This window comes from Homo sapiens, chromosome 10 (assembly GCF_000001405.40).
Source record: "Homo sapiens chromosome 10, GRCh38.p14 Primary Assembly".
Classification (NCBI taxonomy): domain Eukaryota; kingdom Metazoa; phylum Chordata; class Mammalia; order Primates; family Hominidae; genus Homo; species Homo sapiens.
Window position 1 is genome coordinate 58449763 of NC_000010.11, and position 26792 is coordinate 58476554.

The 26792-nt window shown below is 38.5% G+C and overlaps 1 long non-coding RNA gene across 6 annotated transcripts in view; it reads left to right on the forward strand.

The window, feature by feature from the left end:
• LOC105378316 (uncharacterized) overlaps positions 1-26792 on the forward strand; it is a 69554-nt gene that overhangs the window by 15837 nt on the left and 26925 nt on the right. For 5 of the 6 annotated variants that reach the window (XR_945981.3, XR_945983.3, XR_945984.3 and 2 more), the window contains 2 exons: positions 17423-17576; positions 17652-17920. This is a non-coding gene — a long non-coding RNA (uncharacterized LOC105378316). The remainder of the gene's footprint in view (positions 1-17422; positions 17577-17651; positions 17921-26792) is intronic. The other variant, XR_945982.3, reaches the window with a different exon arrangement.

Below are 26792 nucleotides of genomic sequence, written 5' to 3' on the forward strand. Positions count from 1 at the left end.
ATTTTTTGTGGTTATATGTGGAGAGTTAGTTTGATGGGAGCTACTGAATCATTACTGGGAGCAAATAACCTGATTATTGTATTTATTTAGCTTCTGATCAGTCTTAGATCTTGCATGACAAACGCTTACCTTATTTTAATTCTTCAGTGTCTTAGCTATTCTTGTGTAGAAGCTGAAGTCTTATCCAGTATACTTTTCTACCTCTCAGGTCCTTCTAAATGGAAGGAACTGCAAATTAGCCATACCAAAGAGAGGATATGTGGAAGAGAGGAAAGGAAGCTAAACAGCTTCCTTTCTGTGCTGTCCATAAATCCGTACCGCCAGGGATCATAACAATTTGAGGTACCACCATAATATACATATGCATGTCTGGTGTGTTTGGAGAAGGCTGTTTAAACCAGGACTGAACATTTGAGGATAAGAAGCTTGTGGTTGGGAGAAGCAACTGGGAAGTGTGGAAATGAAGACAGAGGTGAGTTAGTAGGCTACTTACTGCAGGAATCAGGTGAGATGAGAAGCTGAGCTAAAGCAACATTAATGAGAATGTAGAAAGGGACCAGATTGGAAAGATAATTAAAAATTGATAAACCGGCCAGGTGTGGGTGGCTCATGCCTATAATCCCAGCACTTTGGGAGGCTGAGGTGAGAAGATCACTTGAGCCCAGGAGTTTGAGACTAGCCTGGGTAACATAATGAAACCCTATTTCTACAAAAAATAAAAAAATTAGTTGGGTGTAGTGGCACATGCCTGTAGTCCGAGCTACTTGGAAGGCCAAGGCAGGAGAATCACTTGAGCCCGGGAGTTCGAGTCTTCAGTGAGCTGTGACTGCGCCACTGCACTTCAGCCAGGGTGAAAGAGAGAGACCTTGTCTCAAAAAACAAAACAAAATGAAAAAACAAGAAAAACTTGATAACCCCTGTGTACAGATTGAAAGAGATACTTATAAGGATAAGAAACATTTTCTCCCATCACTCAAATCACAGCAGGTGTCAACATCTTACTTCGCTGACACATGTAATAATATAGAAAGTCTAGAAAATAGAAAAAAATTATCAAAAATTCCACTATCTTTATATAACTAAAAATGTTTTATCTTCCAGGCCTTATTTAGAAACAAATGTATATGTTTTATAGCTACAACCACACACAAGTTTGAAGGTCTTCGATACATCATAATTTTGCATTATTTCTATCATCTCGCATGAATGAGCAATTTTCATCATGCTGATATCTGTAATTATGTCCTTTTAAATGTCTTACATAGTATTCCATCATTTCATACACCCCAAACTTTTAAACTATTATTCAACTTGTTGTACATTTATATTATTACAACTATAAATAATGTACCACAAACATGTTTATGTATATAGTCTTTCTCTTCTATGGGGGGTATCTCTTTAGCTGTAAGATATCCATGGTGAAAAGTAGAAACATTTAATATTGTTTTATGTATATTGATATTTAGTCACAAGAGCTCTGACATTGTAAAGCCCCAGAGTGATATGTGTGAGAATCTTTGAATTTCAGATAATTACTGAGAGAAAGGACTTTGCTTTGTAGCTCCAGGAGCTAGTACTGTGGCTAGGCATATTAGACCAGTAATAGCTGTGTTTTGAATATGTAAATCAATGATTAAATGAATGATTAATTCACTTGTCTTGTGATGAGAGTTTTAAGATGTTTCTTGCCATCTGGATGCAGTATGATTTCAAGTGTCCCCTCTGATACTGGCAAGGTCTGGAGAGCCATTAAGACAAAGAGTTTACTCCTGTGAGCTGGGTTCTACGGAAGTCTGGAATGCTGCCCTGAGAACACAATCTGCAACAGTATCTGTCTGAGATTTTTGGTTTTGTTTCCTCCACCACTATAAACCCAAGCATTTCCATGGGCTCCCTTCTGAAAAAGGGAAGGTGATATTTCCTGGCTGAAGGAGACTTTCCCATTAATGTTTTACCTCAGTGTAGCAAGCACGCTAAGCTTGGGTCAGAATGTTTGAATGTTTTGGCTCTGTTCTCTTGTGGACTTCAGAAAACAACTAAGTTCATTCTCAACTTAAACTGGATCACTGTTTTTGTTTTGTAATGATTTTTCTTGTAAAGGGAGAAAAATAATTTTGGTTCAGATCAAATTGTAAAAAAAAGTTTAAGATTTAGCTGATCAGAATAAGGCTTTTGAGATGGAGATTTTATATCAATATCATTTGTGTTTTTACTAGCACTAGTAATTACTATTTATAGCACTCTGTGCCTGTCCCTGCTCTAGTACATTTTTTTTTTACATTATTTAACTTACTTTAGTCATCTCAGCAATCCTATGAAGTAGATATTACTTTCATTTTGTAATTATCGGGAAAATGATGCTTACAGAACTTAACTCACCTGCCCATAAGCACACAGAATTGGTAACAGTCAGAATTGAAAACTAGATCTGTCTGATATCAATATGCTCACACATCCATTTGATTTTTGTTTGTTTATTTATTTATTTATTTTGAGACAGGGTCTCATTCTGTCACCCAGGCTGGAACGCAGTGGTACAATCTTGGCTCACTGAAGGCTCACAGCAACTTCCGCCGCCCAGGTTCAAGCAATTCTCCCACCTCTGCCTTCCAAGTAGCTAGGATTACAGGTGCATGCCACTCACTATGCTAGGCTAACTTTTTTTTTTTTTTTTTTTTTGGTAGAGATGGAGTTTAACCATGTTGGCCAGGCTGGTCTCGAACTCCAGACCTCAGGTGATCCGCTCACCTCAGCCTTGCAAAGTGCTGGGATTACAGGCATGAGCCACTCACACATCCATTTGAAAAGCACTTTCACATAAATTTTATTTTCTCATTCACAGTTGCAATACTGGGAAGAGGGCTGTGCTTAGTCCTGCCTGGCATAGGTAAAGACAGAGATTTACAGATTATGTGTTTTGCCATCCAAGGTCACACTGGAGAGAGTTATCAGAGTCAGGGCATAAATGAAAACCTTCTGGTCTTCATCCCGTACCCTTTCCACTCTTCTCACGGACTCCCTAGAGATTTTCTCTCTCAATCTCTCACTTTATGTTTGAGCAAATGGAAGCCCAGAATATTGCAATGATTCATCAAGGTCATACAACTAGTTAGCAAACTGATGCTAGAGGCTGGATTTTTTGCCTCCCGAGCTAGCGTCTTTTCTGTTAGGTCTATGTAGCAAACAAAACCTGATTGTTAAGGAATGTTCAATGTGAGTTACAATCCAAGCCAGGGAAGACATTAATATAGGCCATCCAGTACAGAGCCCTTCACTCATCATTTTCATTTTTAACAAATGTCCTCCCTCATTTGAGATACCCAGTTGATGTGCTCATCATCAAGTATGCACTGAAATGATGAGTATGAATGTGTCCTGCACTGGGGACCAGCCCCGAGTGGGTCCCCCATTGTCAGTATATGGAGAGTCTCAGGAATAGCAACTCTCCCTTCCTCAGTGTAGACCTCGAAACAGCCAAAGTAAATAGAATTTTCCACCTCAACAGCTGTATTTATTTTGGGCTGTTTCTCCACCTACAACGCCCATTTGCTGTTCTCAGAGCTTCTGAACCTGTTTATTTTCAACCTCCCAGAGGCAGCCAGCTGTTGTATTCCCATTTCAAGGCAAAAAGAAGTCAACATGTTCTTCTGGAGGGAAGCAACCCATTTTAAGATCTTAAAGGATATCACCCAAAGGAGAGTTTACCAGCTGTGGATATTTCCTGAGCAAGACACTATTCCTGCTCTCAAATATCTTATTCAAGTGGCTTAACAGATGTAATTGGAGACAGAGCTTGAGCGCTGAAAATTACATAGTAATATAAAAGAGCTAGGGAGCAATATGAGCTCGAGATTTAAGTGATGTCAAGTGAATGTGATTGAGCAGAGCCTCCCCATCAGTAGGCTGGATTAAGCCTATAGGAATATTTTGTTTGGGATCCAAGTTTGTTTGTGTATGTGTTTGTTTTTCAGTGAGCCAATATTTAAAAATTGAGAGACTTTACCTAAAAGTCTGATTTCTGGCTTCGTTTGAAATACCAGAAGATCTGTCAATACGTGTTTGTCCTTATTGGGGCACCAGTGGGCTGGTGTGGTGGGTGTGTTAGATAAAACACACCCTCCTCAGTTTGCCATAAGTACTCCCTATTTTCTTTCCAATGTTGAGGCCAACTCTTAGTTGCCTTGTACCTTCACAGTTGCAGTGTTGTTTTACTTATTCTCATTCACTTCAGTTTTGTGCTGGACCCCATGGGCATGTGAGTATTTCAACCCTTTTGGGGTCATTAGTGCCTTAAGGGCTGGTATGGATGTCGCCTTTGTTGAATGCCCATTATAATATAATAAGCACTGTACTAGACATGTACCTCATTTACTACTCACAGAAAACCCTACCAGGCAGACATTATCATTCTCACTTTGCAAATGGGAAAAATGAGACTCAGCAAGGGTTTGATATCAGCTAGAAGTCATCCAGTTCACGAATAGCTAGGATTCAAATGCTAGCTGGCTAATTTCCTCCTTCATAGATACTGCCTCCCAGAGAACTAGGAAGTGACAAAGTTGAGTCTTGAACTCCAGCCTAGTGAACATTCTAAAAAGTCATACTCTATCACAGGCACACATTTTGCTGTGTGCAAAGAGATAGCTAGCAAATACCTCATGATGAATCCAGAGGACCTAGAAGAAAAAAACCACTTCCACTAGGAAATGACTCAATAACCAATAATAACTTCTGAAAAGAATACACTGTAATTGTCCTTAAATTGTAGGTAGACAAACCCATCACCAAGGAGTTGGCATGTGCTTCTGGGATAGATTGAAAATTTTGGCAACAACAGGGTATTGAACTATTAGAAAATACCATTTGGGTATTTCGATGAGAAGAATGGAATCTGTGAAGATGCTAAACAAAGACCATAAATTCCATACGGTTTGGGCAGATAAAGAAGTAGTAAAACCTATATTCTAAATTCTAAGCCAACCATTCCTGGGCAGTGACCACTGGAAGCTGGACCTCAAAGCCTGAAGCCTGGATGTCAAAACCTATCACTTCCCATACAGCTCATTCTAGGTAGCAGAAATACAAAATATTTAAATGTCAGTTATTCTGTTTTATATTTTGAAAAAGAGTTTTGGAAAGTTACACAGCTTGAATTTAAATCCAGGACTTCCATTATATGCTACCTTGAAGAAAACAGATGGTAGAGAGGGGAGGGAAAGGCATTCCAGGTAGGGGATGTCATGTTAGAAAACTTCAGATTCAGCTTGGGTAGAGAAGGGAACTAAATAGCAGAGATTACAGTCTCTAAAATTTCTATCACCATGGTACATGATGACAGCAGCTACCTGTTTTATTACTTACCCTGTTACCTCAGATTGCAGATAACTGACCATGCTGGCCCTCACTGAAATTCCCAAGGGACATGTCTCTAATGACCACATGTCCCTTTTACTCTCCTTTCACCTAGCCATGGCCATTTACCCCACTTGCAAGATCCACCCTACTCCAAGGTTTTGGATCAATTCTCTTCCTGGTCAAGGTAAGTTGCAGGCTAATAGGTAAATCACAGGCCAGCTATAGGTTGAGTAATGTTTAACAGCAACAACAAAACCAAAAATAACAATTACTATAACAGTAAAAATGGTAGTTACTTTTCCTGAGCTATGTCTATGTACTAAACACTTTGCTATTAAATAAAATAATTAATTAAATAATAAATAATTTATATTCTTTACTCCATGTAATTATATCACTCTGTGAGTTATACATTATGGGGAGACAATTCTCTATGGGTCTCTTGCATTTCCGCACATCTTGTGAGTGAGGCATTCGCTCTTCTTTGTTCCAGACTTCTTTTTTTTTTTGATGGTAAGCAGTTTATTTTTTATTTATTTATTTATTTATTTATTATACTTTAAGTTCTAGGGTGCATGTGCACAACGTGCAGGTTTGTTACATATGTATACATGTGCCATGTTGGTGTGCTGCACCCATTAACTCGTCATTTACATTAGGTATATCTCCTAATGCTATCCCTCCTCCCTCCCTCCACCCCACAACAGGCCCCGGTATGTGATGTTCCCCTTCTTGTGTCCAAGTGTTCTCATTGTTCAATTGTCACTTATGAGGGAGAACATACAGTGTTCGTTTTTTTGTCTCTGTGATAGTTTGCTGAGAATGATGGTTTCCAGCTTCATCCATGTCCCTACAAAGGACATGAACTCATCCTTTTTATGGCTGCATAGTATTCCATGGTGTATATGTGCCACATTTTCTTAATCCAGTCTATCATTGATGGACATTTGGGTTGGTTCCAAGTCTTTGCTATTGTGAATAGTGCTGCAATAAACATATGTGTGCATATGTCTTTATAGCAGCATGATTTATAATCCTTTGGGTATATACCCAGTAATGGGTTGGCTGGGTCAAATGGTATTTCTAGTTCTAGATCCTTGAGGAATCGCCATACTGTCTTCCACAATGGTTGAACCAGTTTACAACCCAACCAACAATGTAAAAGTGTTCCTTTTTCTCAAACTTTAGGTTGCATCTGAAATACTAAGATACTTGTTTTAAAACGCAAAACTTCAGCCCTTATCCCTAAAAATGCTGAATCAGCAGGTCTAGGTTAGAACCAAAAATTGTTATTTAAAAAATAAGATTCCCAAGTGATTCAGGTGCATGAGGGTTGTAGAATTCTTTGAGAAGCATTGATCTATGGGGGTAAAATGAAGTTCCTTTACAAGGAACACAAGAATCCCCACTATATAGTCCTTACTTATATCTTATGCTGCCATTCCTTGTTTTGTGCTTTACATTCTAGCAACTCCTAACAGCTTTTTAACACTTTCTACTTCCATATTTTGACCACCTTTCTTCTCTACATAAACTAACTAACCTCTACTCATCCTGTAGCTCAGGTGTCTCCTCCTCCATGAAGCCTTCCGCCATCCCAAATAGGGGATATACAGTACTTCCTCTTCCCTCCTAAAGCCTTCTGTGCTTATCTCTATTATTCAGATCTACCTTTGATTAAAATTATCTGTTTATATGTCCGTCTCTACCATAAGACTATAAACTCCTTTAAGGTAGGCCATGTGTCCACTTTATCCTTATATGGGAAGACCTTTGTGGGATACTACAGTATCTAGTTTACAATAGGCATTGGGTTTCAAAATCAGTTTTTGTTGAATTAATAAAAGAATGAATAAATGGCTGAATGAATAAAGCCATTTCTTTGCAAGTAGCTTTCAGTATAAAATCTTGTTATGATATACTATTGATTTTCTTAAAAACATTGATTTCTTCTGATATAGGACCAGAAATATGAGAAAAATGGGAAAGAGCAGAAAGTTAAATTTTAGCATCATAGGGAGATTAAATAATTTACCCTGGCCAACTCTTTTTACAGATAAGGAAACTGAGGTTTAGATAGGATGAATGACTTACCCAATGTCACACAGCTTGTTAGGGGCAAAATAAGACTGGGAGTTTTTTTCTCTTGGTTCATAGTCCCAAGCTCTTCAGGCTAACCATGGTCCCTCCCTTCCACTAAATTCTGTACCTACTCAAAGCCCTACTGAAGTTTCTACCATCCTGGCTTTTCCTGAGCTCATCTGATATTGATCATGTTGGTACTTCATATTATCTGAATAACTCATATGCCATTTTTCCTTACATAAATTTGCCTTTGATATATACCCAGTATCGGAAGTATTTTTAAAAAACCTTTTGCTGTATTTATCTTTACTGTTTAGATTTTTGTTTTTATATGCTGTAAATCAAATTTGCCTCCTCATGTTGGCTGACTAATCTCTGATCAATAGATTTTTCTAGAGAATGTCTCCTTCACTAGTATTTAAGGGAGGGAAATGTGATATACTAAATAATAAACTCTCCTAGTTTTCCCAAATACATCCAAAGCACAATCATCTCCATCTGTGTTTCCTCTGTCACTTGTATAATCAGATGTGGAAAATATTTAACATCACATTGAGTCCTCCAGTTTGAATCAGTACACGTGATAAATTGCATGGGGGTGTTTCATTTGTCTTGCAACAGAAACCTTTATCTTTGCCTGGTGGCCTGACTGTAGTTTAATAAAAGAAAGGCCCTTTGAATAGATCTTGTGCAATATGAGTTCTCATCCAGGTCTATGAATAATTCATCAGGCAAGAATCTTGTTTCTGTTTATGAAATAATATTCTAAAGACCATTAAGGCTAGACCTGTGCTGTAGTCAAAAGTCCTTCTTGAGTTCCAGCTAGTGATATGCAGAAAATTATTGTTGCTACAACTCTTCAGACATATGGCTAAGTTCAAGGGAATTTGTTAACTTCTTGTGTTGCATCCAAAAGTTTCCAATTATCAACAAAAGATGGCATACCAATGCAATTACTCCTGATGTATTCCAGTTAGGGATTCTAAATAACCATAGTTGTGTGGGTGTATGTGGTCTGAAATAACAGGAATCAGTGAAAATTTCAAGTGTAAATACACCACAGAGACCACTTACATATCACAACCAGACAAACGTATCCCACTGAGCTGAATGTGCTTTCAACAGGAAGCAGGGATTTTTGGACCACCTCCCAAACCCTGATTCCCAGCCGTTGTAAACTGTTTGAGATCCATTTTGTTTCCAGTTGTGCAACAGACTTCTCCAACAGCTTATTTGCTTCATGTGTCAACAAAGTTGAAAAACAGTGCCTCTTACACAAGTTAGTCAGAAATGTATAAAGCTATTGTTAATGATGTGGTTACCACCAAACTTGGAAAAACAAATTACAGGCTGTGCCAGAGAAGCAGGCTTATCTTGCTGAGCCTTAGTATGCCTCCTTGATTCCTAGATAACTCTTATACTCATTGGTTTGGGATCTTTTTAAAGGTTATTTTTAGAGTAATTCTGCTAGCCAAGGAATAGCAAAGTAAGAAAGGGAAAAGACTTGTATAGCTTCAGGAAAACATACACTGCCTGTTTTGGAGGAAAATCATCCCTGGGGATAAGGCCAAAGGGAGATCCCTGAAGGCAAATTCTTGACCATCCAGGTCCTGTGGCCACACACACTATTACTTTTATTTATCCAAATATCAGCAGAAGCTACCAAGCCTGTAGGTGCAAGTGGCAATAATTTAGGTTTGATCTTCTTTAAGTGCAGCTCAGATCATGTCACTAAATCTTTACTGATTTTTGTCATTCATAAAATCAAGTGCAAACCCCACAGCCTGGCTCTCAGTGCCCTCCAAAAATAAATAATTCTCTAATATTATCTTCCATTAATTTAATAAAACCTTATTCCCAGGTAATCCCTGAAATAATCAGCCCATGATGGTTAATTTTATGTGTCAACTTGGCTGGGCCATGTTGATGCATATTTTAATAATTTTGAAATACGTGTTCAACATTATTCTGGATATTTTTTGTGACAGTATTTTTGAATGAGATTAACATTTAAATTTGTGGACTTTGAGTAAAGTAGACTGCTCGCCACATAACGTGGGTGGGTCTCATCCAATCAGTTGAAGGCCTGAATAGGACAAAAGACTGACTTTCTTCTGGAGGGAAATTCTGCCAATAAATGGCCTTCAGACTTGAACTGCAACATTGTCTCTTCCTGGGTCTCCAGCCCAGTGGTCTTCCCTGCAGATTTTGGACTTGCTAGCCTCCGTAATCATGTGTACCAATTCCTTAAAATACATTTCTTTCTATGTATATACATATCCTAATGGTTTTGTTTCCCTGGAGAACTGGCTAAAACATAGCCCCAGGCTTTTATGTTTTGTTGTCTTTGTTTATATGGTATTACAAACACTATTGCTAGTAATACTCTTATTGGTATTTATTGAATCTTACTATGTGCAAGGCACCATGCATTGAATTTCCACACATTGTCTCATTTAATTCTCACAACAACCTATGAGGCAAGGACATAGAGTTATTAATCAATTGCTTAAGATCATAGTACTAGTAAGTGGCAGATTAAGGGTTTTGATTTTATATGTTTCTGACACAAAAGCCCTTATTATAATGAGTTCGAAACCCCATGAGAAATTATATCTTTGAGAAAGTTAATTTTCTCTACCAGTTTTTAAAATGATATCTTAGCAACCTGTCTGATCCTCTTCCCGCTACATAGTGAACTTGTGGAGAACGGGAATCACGTCTCTGTGTTTTTGTATCCCATGCAACACCACAGTATTGTGCATAGTAAGTTTTCCATTTGTTCTAGGAAATTCTGATAACCTAAATATCAGAAGGATTCTGAAAAGAAAAACAGATTCAACCAAAAAGAGGAGTTGGTGAAGTTGGTCTCTGGCATCCCAGCCTTCTGTCTCTGTGCTCTCCTTTTCCTCTAGAGAGAACTCCCATTTCCCACGGCACTCACTGCTAGAACTCTAAGAGGCAGAGGATGCAAGGGTTCAGTGAGGGCCAAGCCATGATATGCTGGAGCCAATTTGTACCAGCTCATGAGAATCAATTACAAGCACTTTTTCTAAACTCTATATTCAATGATGTAACATTGGAAGCTTGAAATTGCCCATGTGTGAGTATTTACACCATGGAAATCAGTAAACACTACAAATCAGGGCTTCCCTCTCTCCCATCCAGAGAACTGGTTTATCATTAAACTAGTACCTGCCCAAAGAGGAGAGGGAACCATGATTCCAAAAGCCTCCTGCCTTTTCCCTGCTCCCTTTGACCTCAACTTCTGGATTCACAAAACTTTGTTAAGTGTCTTCTATAAGCGGTTGCTTTGCCAGGTGATATGAAGAATACCATGGTTAATGCCATCTGGTTCTTAGGAACTGGTTTCTCAGTGGGAAAATAACAGATACACAAATAACATGAATAATTATTGATTATCCCATTTAGTTTTTCCCTCTTATTTGTTTTGAAATTCAAAGTATGAATATTTACCCATATAAAAATGTAGAAAATGTAAGTGCCATGAGGACAGGAACTTTGACTTTTTATTACCTTTGCCGAGTGCTAGGACGGTGTGATGCATATGGTGAGTGCTAAACAGTCAATGAATAAAATTATGCATTAAAAAATGAAACGACTATATATAATAAAATGTTAGCAATGCTTATCTATACAGGACTGATAGGATTATGGCTCACTTTTCTTCCTTTCTTTTTGGTGAGGGCTTATCTGTAGTTTTCAAGTGTTTAATGATGGGCATATATTAATATTATGTTGGAAGCTGAACAAAAAATAAAAAATAACTAGAATTACATAAAGTAACCAATATTAAGTTACCAGAAGGTACATAAATATAAGCCTCACCAAAGCTAATTGCTGTGTAGTCTTCTGGGAGTGTTTCTTGAAGGAAATGAGGCTGGCGATATGTTTAAAATCCTCTTTGCTCAGAATCATTTTAAGCTACCTGTCATAGGAAAAGGACCAGGTAAAATAATTCACACTAAGGGATGACTGGCAGCCGATACTGTCATTTCTTTCAGGAGGCAGTCAGTTCACAAAAATCTAAACTAGTGAATTATGTAATACAAATCTTCCATATCTTTACTAATTTTTCATATGCTTTGTTTATCAATTACTGAGAAAAGTACATTAAAATTTCCCACTGTTGTGGTGTATTAGTCAGTCTCTTCATGTAAAGTGCTTCATTTTGTGTAACTTTTCAGGTGTATTTTCAAAGTCACTGATTTTCCCTTCAGCTGTGTCTAAACCAATATTTAAACCTTCCTTTGAGGTTCAAATTTTAATGATTAAATTTTATTTTTAGATACTTTATTTGTATTTTTTCTCTTTGTCTCATCAATGTTGATACTTCGACTACTTTTTGTGGTTTCTAAAACTTATTTTATATTTGCTATCTGATCATTTCAGCATCTGTTGTCTCAGGCTGATTTTGTAGCTTGTGATGACTTGTTTTCTAGTGCGCTTAGTGACTTTTTTAGTTGTGTACTCATATCCCTCTGGAACATCTTTGAGGCCTGTCTTTAAGTTTATTACCCAATAGATAATTGGCTTTTGCTTCTATCGGGTGTTTATGGCACCATCAACCTGAAGTCTTTTTAGCCTAATTTTTTCAGCTAGGTTTTTTTTTTTTTTTTTTTTTTTGGGCTGCTTTGGCAGTATGAGTTCTGGCTCCAGACCTGTGTGAGTTGGAAATTATCAGGGGATTTTTTTTTCTTTTATTCTGTACCATGTAGACCTAAGGCTGAGATAGCCAAGTGTTTCCACCATCTGCTTCTTCTTTTTTTTTTTAATTTGTAAGGTTTAAAAAATTTTTTTTGTGGGTATATAGCAGGTGTATATATCTATGGGGTACATGAGATGTACCCCATGTACATGCCTGTTTTGATACAGGCATGTAATGTGAACTAAGCACATCATGGAGAATGGGGTATCCATCCCCTCAAGCATTTATCCTTTGACTTACAAACAATCCAATTATACTCTTTTATTTATTTATTTATTTTGAGATGGAGTCTCACTCTGTCACCCAGGCTAGAGTGCAATGGCATGATCTTGGCTCACTGCAACCTCTGCCTCCTGGGTTCAAGCGATTCCCCTGCCTCAGCCTCCTGAATAGCTGGGATTACAGGTGTGCGCACCACGCCTGGCTAATTTTTGTATTTTTAGTAAGGACAAGGTTTCACCATGTTGGTCAGGCTGGTCTCAAACTCCTGACCTTGTGATCTGCCCACCTCGGCCTCCCAAAGTGCTGAGAATACAGGCGTGAGCCACCACGCCTGGACAATACTTTTTTATTTTAAAATGTATGATTAAGTTATGATTGACTATAGTCACCTTATTGTACTATCAAACAATAGATCTTTTTTTTTTTTTTTTAGATGGAGTCTCACTCTGTTGCCCAGGCTGGAGTGCAGTGGTGCGATCTCAACTCACCACAACCTCTGCCTCCTGGGTTCAAGCAATTCTCCTGTCTCAGCCTCCCGAGTAGCTGGGACTACAGGTGTGCGCCACCATGCCCAGCTAATTTTTTATAGTTTTAGTAGAGATGGGTTTTCACCGTGTTAGCCAGGATGGTCTCGATCTCCTGACCTCATGATCCACCCACCTCGGCCTCCCAAAATGTTGGGATTACAGGCGTGAGCCACCATGCCCAGCCAATAATAGGTCTTATTCATTGTTTCTAACTATTTTTGGTACCCATTAACCATCCCTACCTCCCCCTACAACCTCATGCTACCCTTCCCAGCCTCTGGTAACCATCTGTTTATTCTCTATGTCCGTGAGTTCAATTGATTTGATTTTAGAAATCAAATCAGTAAGTGAGTAAGTACGTGTGATATTTGTCTTTCTGTGCCTGGTTTATTTCACTTAACATAATGATGTCCAGTTCCAACTATGTTGTTGCAAATGACTGAATCTCATTTAAATGAGTAAGAACATGTGATATTTGTCTTTCTGTGCCTGGTTTATTTCACTTAACATAATGATGTCCAGTTCCATCTATATTGTTGCAAATGACTGAATCTCATTCTTCTTTATGGCTGAATAGTACTCCATTGTGTATATGTACCACATTTTCTGTATCCATTCATCTGTTAATGGGCGTTTAGGTTGCTTCCAAATCTTAATTATTGTAAACAGTGCTGCAACAAACAGGAATGCAGAGATCTCTTTGATATACTGATTTCCTCTCTTTTGGGTATATACCCAGCAATGGGATTGCTGGATCATATGTAGCTCAATTTTTAGTTTTTTTTTTTTTGAGGAACCTCCAAACTATTCTCCATAGTGTCTGTATTAACTTACATTCTCACCAACAGTGTACAAGGTTTCCTTTTCTCCACATGGTCGCCAGTATTCGTTATTGCCTGTCTTTTGGATATAAGCTACTTTAACTAGGATGAGATATCTCACTGTAGTAGTGGTAGTAGTTTTTTCACCACCCACTTCTGTGTGGTTTATCTTTCCCCTGCTTCATCCATTGACCTAATTGTCTCTTGGAGCTCCTGAATGTATTCAGTGGTCTATGGATCAACCTTCCATAATGCACTGATTTCAGGGTTTGCATTTTGTCACTTGAGCATGGGCCATTAATCCCAAGCCGTCTGCTACTAGAGACTTGTAGATGACCCCTAATAAACAATGGCTTTTGGGTTGCTTTCTGCTTTGAATGTACTCTTTCTTGTTATTTCTTTTTTTTTCCCACTAGTATAGACACACACTTAAAAATATTGATTTTATATTTTATAAAATTTTTACTTTATTGTAATAGCTTTTGGGGAACAGGTGGTTTTTTGGCTACATGGAAGAGTTGTTTAGTGGTGATTTCTGAGATTTTGGTGCACCCATCACCCGAGCAGTGTACACTGTACCTGATGGGTAGTTATTTATCCCTCACCCTCCTCTCACCCTTATCCCTGTGTCCCCCAAATCTATTATATCATTCTTATGCCTTTGTGTCCTCATATCTTAGCTCCCACTTATAAGTGAGAACATACAATATTTGTTTTACCATTCCTGAGTTACTTGACTTAGAATAATGGTCTCCAGCTCCATTCAGGTTGCTGTCAATGCCATAATTTCATTCCCTTTTATGGATGAGTAGTATTCCATGGTATATACATACCACATTTTCTTTATCCACTTATTGATTGATGGGAATTTAGGCCACTTCTGTGTTTCTGCAACTGTGAATTGTGCTGCTATAAACATGTGTGTGCAAGGGTCTTTTTCATATAATGAGTTCTTTTTGTCTGGGTAGGTACCTAGCAGTGGGATTGCTGGATCTAATTGTAGTTCTACTTTTAGTTCTTTAGGGAATCTCCATACCCTTTCTCTAGGTATGGGGCTTCCTGAGAGACAGACTGCAATGATTGTTGTTACTCTTCTGGGTCTAGCCATCCAGCAGGGCTACCAGGCTCTGGGCTTGTGCTGGGGAATATCTGCAAAGAGTCCTGTGATGTGATCCATCTTCAGGTCTCCGAGCCATGGATACTAGCACCTGATCTGGTGGAGGTGGCAGGGGAGTGAAGGAGACTCTGTGAGAATCCTTGATTGTAGATATGTTTAGTGTGCTGGTTTTCTCAAATGCTGATTTTGCTAGTAGTAAAGTTGTCATGTGGACACCCTCAGGATCTCTAGTTAGCTAGGAAGTTTCAGGCAGTTGTTTTAGCTATAGTTTTCTCCTTCCTGGACGGAAGGTTATTCTGTCATGAGTTGCTATAATGGCCTGAGTTGGTTGGCCTTCAACCAGGAGGTGGTGCTTTCAAGAGAGCACCAGCTGTGGTATTAGCAGTGGGATTTGGGTTTGCCCTAAATTGGCCAGGGGAAGTATTCTGGTTTCTCAAGCAATGGGTGGGACCATAAAGCTCCTAAGAGTTTATGTGTTTGTCTTCAGCTACCAGGGCAGGTAGAGAACTACCATTAGGTGGCGGTAGGGTTAGGCGGGTCTGTTCTCAGACTCTCCTTGGGTGGGGGTTGCCATGGCCACTGTGAGGGGTTGGGGGATAGTTCTCAGGCCAATGGGGTTATGTTCCAGAGGGCATTATGCCTGCCTCTGTTGTGTCATATAGTTTGCCACAGAAGTGGGGGATAGCTGGTAGTGAAAGGCCTCATCCAGCTCCCATGTAGTTAGTGAGGCCAGTCTTACTCCCACAGTGCCCTGCCAACAGCACTGAGTTTAGATCCAGGCAGCCTGCATGTGGAACTCAGACCTTCTCCAGGCCATAGTTTCCCCACTAAGAAGGCAAGAATGGCTTTCAGGCCTTGCCCCTCCCTTTCTGCCCACAATGTCAGCAGCAGCTCCTGCACTCATATCTGCAGCAATTCCCATTTGCCCGCACCCTGAATTCTGCTCAAGAAAATTCATGCCCAGTCAAAATTGTTACAAATTTCAGCTGGAAGATTCTTTCACCCTGTGACTCCTCCCTAATTCTGCAGGCTGCCTTCCCAAGGGCCGCTGGGAGACATAGTCAAGGATGGCTTCTCTGTACTGGAGCTGGAGACTGGAAGTTCCTACAAGGCTCTTCCCACTGCTGCTTCCACTTTTATATTTCACATGTGATATGGGTTTGCTGTGTCCTCATCCGAATCGTATCTTGAATTGTAGCTCCCATAGTTTCCACACGTTGTGGGAGGGACCCAGTGAGAGGTAATTGAATCATAGGGGCAGGTCTTTCCTGTGCTGTTCTTGTGACAGTGAATAAGTCTCATGAGACCTCCCAAGTAAGTGTCTTAAACTGAAATAAGTTTAGAAACTACAGTTAATTAAAGTTAAAGGGCTTTATTTGTGGAGAAATCTCAGAGCTTTTAATATATTCAGTGTTCTTTGTGAGTCTTTAAGGAACTAGATGGAGTGTGTAGTTTATTCCAAACTCCTTTGATCAGAGAACTCTCTTTCTGGAGGGCATTTCCAGTATCTGCTGTGCTATAGAACGCACTTTGAGAAATGTTGCTCCAAAATAATGAAATTTATTCCTCTCCTTCTGTAAACGTACACATCAAAAATTTTGAAAACACCAGAGAAACATGAAAAAGTCTTTAAACTTTATAGGAATGACTTTAAAATAAAGAAAAACAAATGGAGGTACTCAGCTTGATCATTCTTCCAATCATGTAAATTTGTCTTCAAATGACTCTTCCAATAATCACTACGACCCTCAGATGACTTATTATTACCAAGGACATTCCAAAGACAGAGTCACAGTCTACAGGGAGTGAGTTACCGAAGAGCAGTTCCCCAACTTCCTAATTTATGGGCAGCATTGTTGGTACATGTGCAAGGCTTGGAAAGGCTTTGAAGAGGCAACTCTCACTGGGAGATATATATTCAGTGATGCTAAAATCCCAAGCAGTCTCACCAAAAGGAATACATAAAAATGCTAACAGTGTCAATCATTAGGTGGTAAGATTGTGAATTATTGTTATTTTTTCTTTTAATTTATCCATACTTTTAAAAATGTCAACAGTGATTGTGTATTATTTATGAAATAAGAAAAATGTTTTTAAAAAGGAATCTTATAATCATTTAAAAGGGAAAATCCATTTTAAAAATGGAGGAATCTGAAGCTTGGAGAAAAATGAATTTTCCAAGGTCACATAGTCTGTCGGAGGTAAACTGGATTCTTGAACTCCTGACCAGGGCCCTCCTCAGAATACTCCACATTACTTCACAGTCACAGAGGAATAGCCCCTGCCAGGGCTGTTCCTTCTCAGGAAGGGAGTTGTCAAAAGAGGAGAAACATGCATCTTCTGGGTGGGTGAGCCCTTTCCCTCTTCGAACCATAGGAAGGCTGTGCTGACACTTGGACAGATTCTCCTGCTTGTGGTACAGGTTTTGCTACTATTTTTCTGGCTAGGAAATTGTCATGAAAGGAGGGAGAAGGACTTACCTTAGGAGTATGGGAGAGTTAAGTTTCCCTCAAGACACCATCCTATAATAAATGGAGCATTGTGGCTGCTATTTTTTTCCCAGGCTGCTTATTGCTGTTGAGTTCCCCTCTGCTCCCACAGAAGACAAGGAGAAGGAATGTCACAGGGGCTTGAGTATCCCTCTAGGGAAGAGTGGCTGGAACACCTAATGTGAAAGTTTGGGGAATCTTTGGCTGCTGAGGTTTGGAGATTGGGAGGTCTGTGGTGATTCTGGAACTAATTTTACAAAATAGACAATGAAGTAATTGATTGATTCACTGTTTTCCATTAAGATTGTGTTTTTGTGGTTTTTCTTGTGGAAATAAGAGCTCAGAGGGATGATGATATAACATTGGAGAAAGGATGTTGGAACCTCACCCACCTGTGTTTGCCTTCCCATGCAACTGGAGCAGTGGAAGTTAGAAAGTAGGGTATGAAAAACGACTGGAAGCAGAGATCCTCTCCCACAGAGGGGTAGAATTGGAAGACGCACTCAGAAAGCCTTACGGCCAACCTCCTCAGTTTTCATACAGGCAAACTAAATATTACAGATGGGAAAATGGTAAGTATTTAAATATTTATTGAGCATCTAGTATATGCCAAACACTGTGTTAAGCATTGAAGGTACAAGAGAAAACAACATAGATGAGTCTCTGCCTTCTGCAATGTAGAGGTCCTGAGAGGTGAAATGACAAAACAAACTCACAACAAGAATCTAGATCTCTTAGGTCTGAATTGGTGATCTTTCTTAAATTTTCCATCTAGAATACTTCAAGCACCTAGGAATTTCTATATGACTTTGGGCAACTCACTAAACATCTGTAGGCTTCAGTTTTATGAACATAAAAAAAGAAATTTGTACATTTACTCACTCATTCATTTACTAAAAATTTACTGATAACCATCTGTATTCCAGGCATAAAGCTCACCAATCTCATAAAACAGGAGCTTTTTTGCTGAGAGTAAACATCCATCTGTCAATAATTCTCTCCAAACAGTAACCAATAGGTAGCTGGAAATTCCAGAGTTAGCTGTAGTTTATTTTTTTGCCATTCAGAGTTGGCTTACTCCCTCAAGTGCCTTGAATCCGCACTTGGAGTTCTCCCTTCCTCCCTCACTTGCCTGCATTCTTCCTTTCCCTCCCTCCCTCCCTCCCTTCCCTCCCTCCCTCCTTCCCTCCCTCCCTTCCTTCCTTCCTAACTTCCTTCCTTCCTTCTTTCCTTCCTTTTTTCCCTCTCTCTGTCTTCTTTCTTTCTATCCACCCATCTTCTTTTCATTTGAAGTGTAAACCCTAACACTAGGGAATTTATTTACAAGAAGAGATTTAAAAGTCATAAAGCTATACACTTGGATTGGTACGGTTAGTATACTCTTGCTTTGTAGCTGCTCCACATTGAAACTTTTATTTATTATTCCTAAATGTGTACTTTTCCTAAGTCTCAAACTTTTATTTAACATAGGAAATGTCAATACTGGATTACATTCACTGCTGTATCAGGAAAACATGTTACTGGCATGAATCCCAAAGGGGGCAAGGGTGAGAGGAAGAAAAAGGAAAAATGCAAAATGACATGACTGATTCTTGACATGTCCAGATAAAAAGGAAGAAAAAAGTACTAGTCCTTATCAGAGCAAATAGTGTTATCTCCCAAAGTACACAAGAATTTCCAATATTAACCAACCTGTACCCTTTAGAAGACATTTTCTCATAGCTGAAGAATCACATTCATGTTGGCAGTTGATTTACAAGGGCAGGAATGTGGTTTCTTGGACCATTGCCTCATTAGAATGGAGAAAGTGTAGAAATAAATGGTGCTCATCTGTTTGTTTTTTCAGTTCACTTGCATATAATTTTTTTTTTTTTTTTTTTTTTTTAGTAGAGACGAGGTTTCACCACGTTGGTCAGGATGGTCTCAATCTCTTGACCTCATGATCCACCCGCCTCGGCCTCCCAAAGTGCTGGGATTACAGGCATGAGCCACCACGCCCGGCCCACTTGTATATAATTTTTTTCCTATCAAATTTGAGGAGATTAATGGCAGTAGTTTCTTGAAATTAGCAAAAGTTTATGGGCATACTGTGAGACACTGCATAGCAGTGCTTTCAAGGTTCTGTTTCAATAAGTGAACAAGGGGAATGTGCATGTTCTTTTTGAAGACTATTGTTGTATCAGCTCAAAGACTGACCATCTCATTGATACAGCCCTCCTGTTAAGCTGGGAGCTCTCTGCCATAGACACTGTGCATCCATTCCTGGCTAGTTGTGTGTGTGTGTGTGTGTGTGTGTGTGCGTGCAAATACAGATGGTGAATCTATGGGCTAATTTATGAAAAAGGCAGGTCCAGGCTGGAGAACAAAGCTCACTTTTGGTATTGGCAGGTTCTTGATTCTGCCATAACTTGGTTTTTCTCATGCTGGAAGCACTCCCTGGGAAACTAAATATGTATTGTTTCAGCTATTTTCCTATGGGTGGGGAAAAATGACAATTCTTTTAAATCCATTCTTCTCCAGAGCAGGAGGAGCACAACCAGGCTGTAGGCTGGGAAGAAAACTATTCTCCAGAAAATTCTACGTGGTACTTTATCTGTGTTTTTATTTATTTGTCTTATTGTCTGTATTTCCATTTACTCATGTATAAAACTGTACAGTGGTATTTCATATATTCAGTTCTTCGTGGAGTGCCACAGATAAGTACTTAATATCTCTTACCCACAAGTACTGTTACTCTACTACTACTAGGGCTACCACTGCTTCCAGGCTTCCTACAATTACTTCTCGGAGTCACTTCAGTATTGTATTTGGACACTCAACAGCTATAATACTATTTTGAGCTCCACAAACTTAACGGTGTTTTTAGAATTCTGAAACATCAAAATGTCCTCTGAAGGGTACAGGTTGGTTAATATTAGAAATTCTGATGTGTTTTGGGAGATAACACTATTTTCTGTTTCTTCACATAACAGAAAACTCAACTCAAATTGGCTTAAAAAACTAAACAGAACAACTTAGAGTTTCACTGCTGGTAATATATGAGCTAAGATAACCTGAAATCTTACCAATATAAACAAATAGAAATGCTGGATGAATTATTTCCAGAAGATTTTAAACTATGAATTCAATTTATTTAATTTTTTGTATTATTCTATTATTCAGATAATCTGTTTCATTATGGGTGAGTTTTGGCATTTTTGGTTTTCAAGGCATTTGTCCATTTTTTCTTTCTAGGTTGTCAAATTTTTGTGTGCGGAATTGCTTGTATAAGTTCTTTGTTTTTTTAATGTATGCTGGGGTCTAGGTGATATTTTCTTTTTAATTCCTGATATCAGTAGTGTATGTCTTCTTTCTTTGTCAATTTTGATACAATTTTAATTTTATTAATTTTTTAACAGAACAAGATTTTGGTTGTATTGACTTTCTCTTTTTCTGTTTTCAATTTTATTGATTTCTGCATTATTATGTTTTCCCTTCTGCTTGCATTGGGTTTATTTTGCTCTTCTTTTTGGGTTTCTCAAGGTGCTTTCTGTTAGCATTTGATGCTATAAATTCCCCGCTAGGCACTGCTTTGTCATCTGGCAAATTTTGGTATGTTTTACTTTCATTTAGTTCCAAATATTTTCTAATTTCCCTTGAGACTTCTTTAATGCATGGATTATTTAGAAGTGTGTTGTCAAGTTTTTGAGATTTCCTGTTATCTTTCTATCATCAGTTTCTAGTTTAATTCTAGTATAGTCAGAGAATAAACCTTGTATCATTTCAATTCTTTTAAATGTGTTAAACTTTATTTTATAACTCAGGATACTGTCTATCTTGGTGAATGTTCCATGTGCACTTGAAAAAAATATATATTCTGCTATTGGTCCTGGAATGTTCTAAAAATTTCAATTAGATCCAGTCAGTTGATAGTGTTTTACAGTTTATTAATATCCTTGCTGATTTTTTATTAGTTCTATCAATTACTGAGAAGGGAGAGTTGAAGCCTTTTATTATAATGAGGGATTTGTCTGCTTCTACTTTTAGTTTCATGCAACTTGAAGTTCTATTGTAAGGAGCAAACATACTTCGGATTTATTGTATCTTCTTGGTGAAATAACCCTTTTATCATTATATAGTGTCCCTCTTTATCCTTGGTAAATTATTTTGCTCTTCATTCTTCTTTCTCTGATATTAATACAGCCGCTCTAGCTTTCTTTTGTTAAAGATTTACATTGAATATGTTTTCGTATCCTTTATTTTTAACCTACCTATATCATTATGCTTGAAGTAAGTTTCTTAGAGACAGCATATAGTTGGGTCATGTTTTTCAATCCACTCTGAGAATATCCATCTTTTAGTTAGTGTTTCAATGCAGAATAATTTTGACATCTCCTCCAACCCATAATTGTGACAACCAAAAATGTCTTCAGATATTGCCAAATATATGTCCCTCTTTCCTTCCTTCTTACCTCCCTTCATCTTTCTTTCTCTTTTCTTCCTTTCCTTTCCTTTCCTTCTCTCTTTTATCAAATGCCTCTTTAGTGAAATTTCTTTTGTCAAATGCCTCTTGAGTGAAATTGCTCCAGGTTGAGAACCATTGCCCTAGCGATTTCAACATGCATCCTTAACTAGTTACAGTCTACCTTAACTAGTAATCTAATTCTACATAGAATGTAAGAATCTTATAACTTGACTCCATTTGCCCCTTTCTCTTACCTTTTTTGCTATTGTCACATATTTTACACTATGTTACATGTTCTAAGCTCCAAAAGATGCTATTGTTGTTGCTTTATTTGTTTATTTGTAGTTTCGAGACAGAGTCTTGCTGTGTTGCCCAGGCTGGAGTACAGTGGCTCAATCACAGCTCATTGCAGCCTTGACCTCCTGCCTCCTCAGCCTCCTCAGCCTCTCAAGTACCTGGGACTACAGGTACACTCCACCATGCCTGGCTAATTTTTTAGTATCTTTCCTAGAGACAGGGATTCATCATGTTGCTTAGGCTGCAATCAAACTCTGGGCTCAAACGAACCTACCTTCTCAGCCTCCCAAAGTTCTGGGATTACAGTCATGAGCCACTGTGCCTTGTTGCTTTAAATAGTTAGTATTCTTTTATATTTATTCACTGATTTATAGTCTTTTCGGTGTTTTTCATTTCCTTCTAATTTTCTGTGTTTCTAGCTCAGAAAATTTCCCTTCTGCTGGTAGAACTCCCTTTAGTACTTACTTCAATGCTGTGCAGCTAGCAACAAATTCTATTTTAATTTGAAGGAAATATTCTTACTGGTGTATAATTCTAGGTTGAGAGGTCTTGTTTGCCTTTTTGTTTTTTCATTTTAAAAATATCATGACATCGTCTCCTGATTTCCACAGTGTGTCATTTTGGGTTCCATGAGAAGCAGACACCAAGATAGGATTAAAAATATAAGAAATTTGTTCGGGGGAAATGCCTGTAAAGGATAAAAAAAGAAGGAGAGGAGTAGGCAGGGAGAACCTTCAGACACCAAGACAGGTCCAGCACCTGTGAAAGAAGACAGGTGAGGAAGGATTAGGCCAGAAGAGCCTCAGACTATCGACGGGTCTGTTAAATTCATGGCCAGGTCAGTAGAGATCTCCTGAGCCAAATTGCCTGTTAAAGAAATTCTGCATCTACCAATATAGCCTGATTTTCATACCCCCATTGAGCTAATTCATTGACTGGAAGCAGCCCAGGGGAAGTATGATTTGATATGAAAGTTTTAGTGGATCTAACAGTGCAGCAGCTGTCAATAAGATGAGCGCCCCACAGCATGATCTCTTGAAGGGAGATCTGAGGGGTGCAATTCCGTGGCTGCCACACAGTGTTTTTTTTTGTTTTTTGTTTTGTTTTGTTTTGTTTGAAGTTAGCTGTCAGTCTTATTGTAGTTCCCCTGAAGACTTGGGCTTTCCCCAGCTCTGGTTGCTTTAGAACTTGTCATTCTTTTTCAACAATTTCTACAATGTGTCCAGGTATGGTGGGTTTGTTGGTGTTACTGTTGGCATTGTACTTATTCTGCTTAGGGACTCTTGAACTTCTGGAATTGGTGGGTTTATATCTTCCATTACTATTAGAAATTTCTCAGTTGTGTGTTTTCAAATATTGCTTCTGCTCCATTCTCTCTCCTTTCTCTCCTTTGAGACTCTATTACACTTTATTAAACTGTTGGAGTATGTTCCACATTTGGACATACTCTTTCTTTCCAGTTTGGTTTTTCTCTGTGATCCAATTTGAATAGTTTCTATTGATCCGTCTTTAAATTAACTAATCCTATCATCTATATCCAGTTTGCTTTTAAACCTACCTAATTAGTTCTCAAATCCAAACATTATACTTTTCAGTTCTAAAATACCCATTTAAAAATTTGATAGAGCCCAATTATCTGTTAAAATATAATTTTCACTTTTTTTTAACATGCTTTTTGAAACTTTTTTTTAACATGCCATGGTTATTTTATTGTGCTTTTTCTCATCTCAATTCTCTTTGGGCTTGTATTTATTTTATTTTTTGATTATTATTACCTATCCTGATTGTTTTAATGTGCAGTAAATTTTGATTGCATGCTGGGCATTGGTATAAAATAACTGTAGACTTCTGATGGTATCTTCCACCAGAGAGGTATCTTTTTTTTTTCTTTTTTGTTAGGACCAGGAGCTAATTACCTCATTTCAATGGGAACTGAGTTGAAGTAGGGCTGCATTTACAATTTTAGCAAGATTCTGTCCACCCCTGGTTTATCCCTGCTTTTTAGATATAGTCTTTCCAAGCTTTTGATTGAGAGCCTGGAGTGTCTATTTCTTCTCAGCTTTAAGAAAATTTTTTCCTTTTTTAGTCTTTTTGAGACAGAGCCTTGCTCTGTCGCCCAGGCTGGAGTGCAGAGGTGCGATCTTGGCTCACTGTAACCTCCGCCTCCTGAGTTCAAGTGATTCTCATTCCTCAGCCACCTGAGTGACTGGGATTACAGGTGGCTAATCTTTGTATTTTTAGTAGAGATGGGGTTTTGCCATGACTGGTCTTTAACTCCTGGGCTCTAGTGATACACCCACTTTGGCCTCTGCAAGTGCTGGGATTACAGGCATGAGTCACTGTGCCCAGCGTCCTTCTGTACCTAGACATCATGTGGTCCTCTATAGCTCTTTTATAACTTTAACATGTTTCTTTCAATGTATTAATTTGTTACTAGTTGCTGCAGCAAGACCTTTGACCTGCTTTGACCTACTACATTCTACCTAGGAGCAGAAGTATATATAATCTGTTATTCTTACTAATAATATGGCAACAAATAGTCTTAAATATGCTTTATTTCATACAAATGCAAGTAAGGCTGTAGAAGAAATTCCTAGATCAAAAAGTATATGCATTTGTAATTTTGGCAGGTATGATAGTTAATACTGAGGGTCAACTTGATTGGATTGAAGGATACAAAGTATTGATCCTGGGTGTGTCTGTGAGGGTGTTGCCAAAGGAGATTTAATATTTGAGTCACTGGGCTGGGAAAGGGAGACCCACCCTTAATCTGGTGGGCACCATCTAATCAGCTGCCAGCGAATATAAAGCAGGAAGAAAAACGTGAAGAGGTGAGACTGGTCTAGCCTCCCAGCCTACATCTTTCTCCCGTGATGGATGCTTCCTTCCCTGGAACACTGGACTCCAAGTTCTTTAGTTTGAGACTAGGACTGGCTCTCCTTGCTCTGTAAACTTGCCAACAGCCTATTGTGTGACATGATTGTATAAGTTAATACTTAATAAACTCCCATATTTATATATGCCTACCATTTGCTTTATATATATATATAGTGGGACCTTGTGATTGTGTAAGTTAATACTTAAACTCCTATATGTGTGTGTGTATATATATATATATATATATATATATATATGCCTACCGTTTGCTCTTATATATACATCCTATTAGTTCTGTCCCTCTGGAGACCGTGACTAATACAGTAGGTGTCACCAAAACTCTCTCCTTAGAGATTATAGCAATGTATATTTCCACCAGGAATATATAACAATGCCTATTTTAACAGCAGCTTTACAAATACTGTGTGTTAACTTTTGAATGTTTGTGAGTTCAGGAGTAACATTATCAGAACTTTGCATTAAGAAGGTTAATGTAGTCATAATATGTTAGGTGGATTAGAAAAGACCAAGGACAAAAGTCACTTACCTCATAGTTTTGTCTCTGTTTCTAGTGACCTAAAAAGTGAAAGCAACTGTATTCGTGCTTGAAAACATTTCCCGAATTTTCTAATCAGGTCTCTTTTTAGCCGGAAAGTTGATGGCTCAAAGTTCTTCCACAGGTTCAGTACAGATGTTAGCAGATTTTAGTGGCTGCAGTGTAGTACATCTGTTTGTCACACCAAGCTCAGCATCTGTGTCAGGAACAGCCAGTTTTGTGATTCAAGAATAGAAGAGACAGAGATGGCTGTGGTTTCCCCTTAGGGCTCTAGCAGAGGAGACACTTTGGGGACAGTAAAGAACATGAGATGATGTTTCTGTTAAGAAGAAATCTGTTCCTGCTTCATTCTTGGTCAAAACAGCCGTAAGCCTGATAAAACAATATTGCATGCTAGTTTCAGGAATGTAACTCAGCCATTTCAGTGTTTCCTTTCCGGGTCCCTGTGGATTTCTAACCCTCACTTTAACAGTAAGGCTATATTATCCTCATTTTCTCCTGCCATCTCTCGGCTGTTTTTCTTTCTCCTGGGTTCAGTGAGTCATTTCCTCAAGTCCTCCCTGGTTTGGCTTCAAAAATTTAGGATAATCATCAAGAGCTGTCCTCTTCTCCCCTTCAGGCTTGAATTCCTCTTAGTGTTAAAGGCCTTTCACATTTCAGCGTCTGAGGTGGGTGGGCGTGAGTTAAGATCCTTTCTTAAATCTTAGCGTGTATGCTGGAGAAAGCCTAACAGATCACGAGAAAGAGGTAACAAAATGAACGTTCCAAGGAAACTGGGAGGATGTGGGGGAAGGTGCAGATTCATGCTTCATTCAAGTTGCTGATAATGAATGCATTACCAAAGTATTACACTACCAAGAGCTTCCTTTGTAATAACATGAAAAAGTCAATGCTTTGTGATAAACTTCATGTAACTTTATTTTTCTTCCTTACTAGTTGCATTTTTTTAGCTGGTATAGTTGTTAAGCACTTGACTCCTGATGTCAGATGGATCAAGGGTCAAAATCCTGCCACTACCACCTTCTAGCTATGTGACCACCCCCTGGCAGTTGTTTGACGGGCAGGTATTTTTGTCTTCTTATCTAACAATATGGGCAAGCACAATAGCATCCTCCTCATAGGACAGTAGAACAATTATATGAGGAAATCCACATAGGAAGTGCTTAATAGATTGTAGTTATTACTATTATCATTCCTATGGGAATTTAAATTGATGCCTACCATTTGCTTTTATGTTCTTCTGGGATGTTCATGTGGTAATAAATGACTA